We start from the raw sequence: 4,230 nt of genomic DNA, 5'->3' as shown, positions 1-4,230 counted from the left end.
TGCCCGGCTTTGGTATCAGAATGATGCTGGCCTCATAAAATGAGTTAGGGAGGATTCCCTCTTTTTCTATTGATTGGAACAGTTTCAGAAGGAATGGTACCAGTTCCTCCTTGTACCTCTGGTAGAATTCGGCTGTGAATCCATCTGCTCCTGGACTCTTTTTGGTTGGTAAACTATTGATTATTGCCACAATTTCAGCTCCTGTTATTGGTCTATTCAGAGATTCAACTTCTTCCTGGTTTAGTCTTGGGAGAGTGTATGTGTCGAGAAATGTATCCATTTCTTCTAGATTTTCTAGTTTATTTGCGTAGAGGTGTTTGTAGTATTCTCTGATGGTAGTTTGTATTTCTGTGGGATTGGTGGTGATATCCCCTTTATCATTTTTTATTGTGTCTATTTGATTCTTCTCTCTTTTTTTCTTTATTAGTCTTGCTAGCGGTCTATCAATTTTGTTGATCCTTTCAAAAAACCAGCTCCTGGATTCATTGATTTTTTGAAGGGTTTTTTGTGTCTCTATTTCCTTCAGTTCTGCTCTGATTTTAGTTATTTCTTGCCTTCTGCTAGCTTTTGAATGTGTTTGCTCTTGCTTTTCTAGTTCTTTTAATTGTGATGTTACGGTGTCAATTTTGGATCCTTCCTGCTTTCTCTTGTAGGCATTTAGTGCTATAAATTTCCCTCTACACACTGCTTTGAATGCGTCCCAGAGATTCTGGTATGTGGTGTCTTTGTTCTCGTTGGTTTCAAAGAACATCTTTATTTCTGCCTTCATTTCGTTATGTACCCAGTAGTCATTCAGGAGCAGGTTGTTCAGTTTCCATGTAGTTGAGCGGCTTTGAGTGAGATTCTTAATCCTGAGTTCTAGTTTGATTGCACTGTGGTCTGAGAGATAGTTTGTTATAATTTCTGTTCTTTTACATTTGCTGAGGAGAGCTTTACTTCCAACTATGTGGTCAATTTTGGAATAGGTGTGGTGTGGTGCTGAAAAAAATGTATATTCTGTTGATTTGGGGTGGAGAGTTCTGTAGATGTCTATTAGGTCTGCTTGGTGCAGAGCTGAGTTCAATTCCTGGGTATCCTTTTTGACTTTCTGTCTTGTTGATCTGTCTAATGTTGACAGTGGGGTGTTAAAGTCTCCCATTATTAATGTGTGGGAGTCTAAGTCTCTTTGTAGGTCACTGAGGACTTGCTTTATGAATCTGGGTGCTCCTGTATTGGGTGCATAAATATTTAGGATAGTTAGCTCCTCTTGTTGAATTGATCCCTTTACCATTATGTAATGGCCTTCTTTGTCTCTTTTGATCTTTGTTGGTTTAAAGTCTGTTTTATCAGAGACTAGGATTGCAACCCCTGCCTTTTTTTGTTTTCCATTGGCTTGGTAGATCTTCCTCCATCCTTTTATTTTGAGCCTATGTGTGTCTCTGCACGTGAGATGGGTTTCCTGAATACAGCACACTGATGGGTCTTGACTCTTTATCCAACTTGCCAGTCTGTGTCTTTTAATTGCAGAATTTAGTCCATTTATATTTAAAGTTAATATTGTTATGTGTGAATTTGATCCTGTCATTATGATGTTAGCTGGTGATTTTGCTCATTAGTTGATGCAGTTTCTTCCTAGTCTCGATGGTCTTTACATTTTGGCATGATTTTGCAGCGGCTGGTACCGGTTGTTCCTTTCCATGTTTAGCGCTTCCTTCAGGAGCTCTTTTAGGGCAGGCCTGGTGGTGACAAAATCTCTCAGCATTTGCTTGTCTATAAAGTATTTTATTTCTCCTTCACTTATGAAGCTTAGTTTGGCTGGATATGAAATTCTGGGTTGAAAATTCTTTTCTTTAAGAATGTTGAATATTGGCCCCCACTCTCTTCTGGCTTGTAGGGTTTCTGCCGAGAGATCCGCTGTTAGTCTGATGGGCTTTCCTTTGAGGGTAACCCGACCTTTCTCTCTGGCTGCCCTTAACATTTTTTCCTTCATTTCAACTTTGGTGAATCTGACAATTATGTGTCTTGGAGTTGCTCTTCTCGAGGAGTATCTTTGTGGCGTTCTCTGTATTTCCTGAATCTGAACGTTGGCCTGCCTTGCTAGATTGGGGAAGTTCTCCTGGATAATATCCTGCAGAGTGTTTTCCAACTTGGTTCCATTCTCCACATCACTTTCAGGTACACCAATCAGACGTAGATTTGGTCTTTTCACATAGTCCCATATTTCTTGGAGGCTTTGCTCATTTCTTTTTATTCTTTTTTCTCTAAACTTCCCTTCTTGCTTCATTTCATTCATTTCATCTTCCATTGCTGATACCCTTTCTTCCAGTTGATCGCATCGGCTCCTGAGGCTTCTGCATTCTTCACGTAGTTCTCGAGCCTTGGTTTTCAGCTCCATCAGCTCCTTTAAGCACTTCTCTGTATTGGTTATTCTAGTTATACATTCTTCTAAATTTTTTTCAAAGTTTTCAACTTCTTTGCCTTTGGTTTGAATGTCCTCCCGTAGCTCAGAGTAATTTGATCGTCTGAAGCCTTCTTCTCTCAACTCGTCAAAATCATTCTCCATCCAGCTTTGTTCTGTTGCTGGTGAGGAACTGCGTTCCTTTGGAGGAGGAGAGGCGCTCTGCGTTTTAGAGTTTCCAGTTTTTCTGTTCTGTTTTTTCCCCATCTTTGTGGTTTTATCTACTTTTGGTCTTTGATGATGGTGATGTACAGATGGGTTTTCGGTGTAGATGTCCTTTCTGGTTGTTAGTTTTCCTTCTAACAGACAGGACCCTCAGCTGCAGGTCTGTTGGAATACCCTGCCGTGTGAGGTGTCAGTGTGCCCCTGCTGGGGGGTGCCTCCCAGTTAGGCTGCTCGGGGGTCAGGGGTCAGGGACCCACTTGAGGAGGCAGTCTGCCCGTTCTCAGATCTCCAGCTGCGTGCTGGGAGAACCACTGCTCTCTTCAAAGCTGTCAGACAGGGACACTTCAGTCTGCAGAGGTTACTGCTGTCTTTTTGTTTGTCTGTGCCCTGCCCCCAGAGGTGGAGCCTACAGAGGCAGGCAGGCCTCCTTGAGCTGTGGTGGGCTCCACCCAGTTGGAGCTTCCCGGCTGCTTTGTTTACCTAAGCAAGCCTGGGCAATGGCGGGCGCCCCTCCCCCAGCCTCGCTGCCGCCTTGCAGTTTGATCTCAGACTGCTGTGCTAGCAATCAGCGAGATTCCGTGGGTGTAGGACCCTCTGAGCCAGGTGTGGGATATAGTCTCGTGGTGCGCCGTTTCTTAAGCCGGTCTGAAAAGCGCAGTATTCGGTTGGGAGTGACCCGATTTTCCAGGTGCGTCCGTCACCCCTTTCTTTGACTCGGAAAGGGAACTCCCTGACCCCTTGCGCTTCCCAGGTGAGGCAATGCCTCGCCCTGCTTCGGCTCGCGCACGGTGCGCACACACACTGGCCTGCGCCCACTGTCTGGCACTCCCTAGTGAGATGAACCCGGTACCTCAGATGGAAATGCAGAAATCACCGTCTTCTGCGTCGCTCACGCTGGGAGCTGTAGACCGGAGCTGTTCCTATTCGGCCATCTTGGCTCCTCCTCCTAATTAATTCTTTACTCACATATTTTTATGAATGCAAATATTCCTGGATATTTAATTGGGAAATTGAAAAGTATGTGGTAGGCAAAATAAACGTTCTCTCTCCCTTCCCTCCAAAGTGTCTATGTTCTAATCTGCAGAGCTGTGAATGTTACCTTATGTGGCAAAAAGGAATTTGCAGATGTCATGAAGTTAAGGATCTTGAGATAGGAAGACTAGGCTGGATTCTCCAGGTGGATCCTAATTGTAATTACAATATAGGTCAAAGGTGGGAGAAGATGATGTGGGGAGGGAAGCAAAACTCAGATAAATAGCTGAGAGATAAATAGAAAAAAAATACAGAGCTATGTGTACACTAAGTTTTGTATATATACATGTATTTCCTTGCTCTGTTGGCTGAGAGGGCATAGTGCCACTGACACTTCAGTAGCTTGCATCTTGATTTGTAAATATTATTCTCTACTAAAAGACAACTGGGTTTCTTGGAGAAATGACTGATTCCTAGGTTGGGGCCAGAAAATGACAAGATGATCCTGCAGGGTGTGTGTGTGTGTGTGTGTGTGTGTGTGCAAAAAGTAAGGAAGTGCTGAAAGAAACTAAGAAAAAATAAGAGGATAGAGCATGTCAAAAGGGCACATAAGTCAATCTGAAACAGTCCCAATAGCCAAAGCTGAAACAATTTAA

The 4,230-nt window shown here is 43.3% G+C and overlaps 2 annotated features.

Annotated features, from left to right (window-relative positions):
- Positions 2,616 to 3,273: an enhancer, noted in NCBI's record as "OCT4-NANOG-H3K27ac-H3K4me1 hESC enhancer chr4:167491405-167492062 (GRCh37/hg19 assembly coordinates)". NCBI's record gives its function as "activates a minimal SCP1, AML or CMV promoter by ChIP-STARR-seq in primed H9 embryonic stem cells {active_cell/tissue: H9 hESC(primed)}" and the evidence as "EXISTENCE:reporter gene assay evidence [ECO:0000049][PMID:30033119]".
- Positions 3,274 to 3,933: an enhancer, noted in NCBI's record as "OCT4-NANOG-H3K27ac-H3K4me1 hESC enhancer chr4:167490745-167491404 (GRCh37/hg19 assembly coordinates)". NCBI's record gives its function as "activates a minimal SCP1, AML or CMV promoter by ChIP-STARR-seq in primed H9 embryonic stem cells {active_cell/tissue: H9 hESC(primed)}" and the evidence as "EXISTENCE:reporter gene assay evidence [ECO:0000049][PMID:30033119]".

The sequence above is a fragment of the Homo sapiens genome, chromosome 4 (assembly GCF_000001405.40).
Source record: "Homo sapiens chromosome 4, GRCh38.p14 Primary Assembly".
Lineage (NCBI taxonomy): Eukaryota > Metazoa > Chordata > Mammalia > Primates > Hominidae > Homo > Homo sapiens.
Note: the sequence above shows the minus strand (reverse complement) of the source record. Positions and strands in the feature narration are given on the sequence as shown.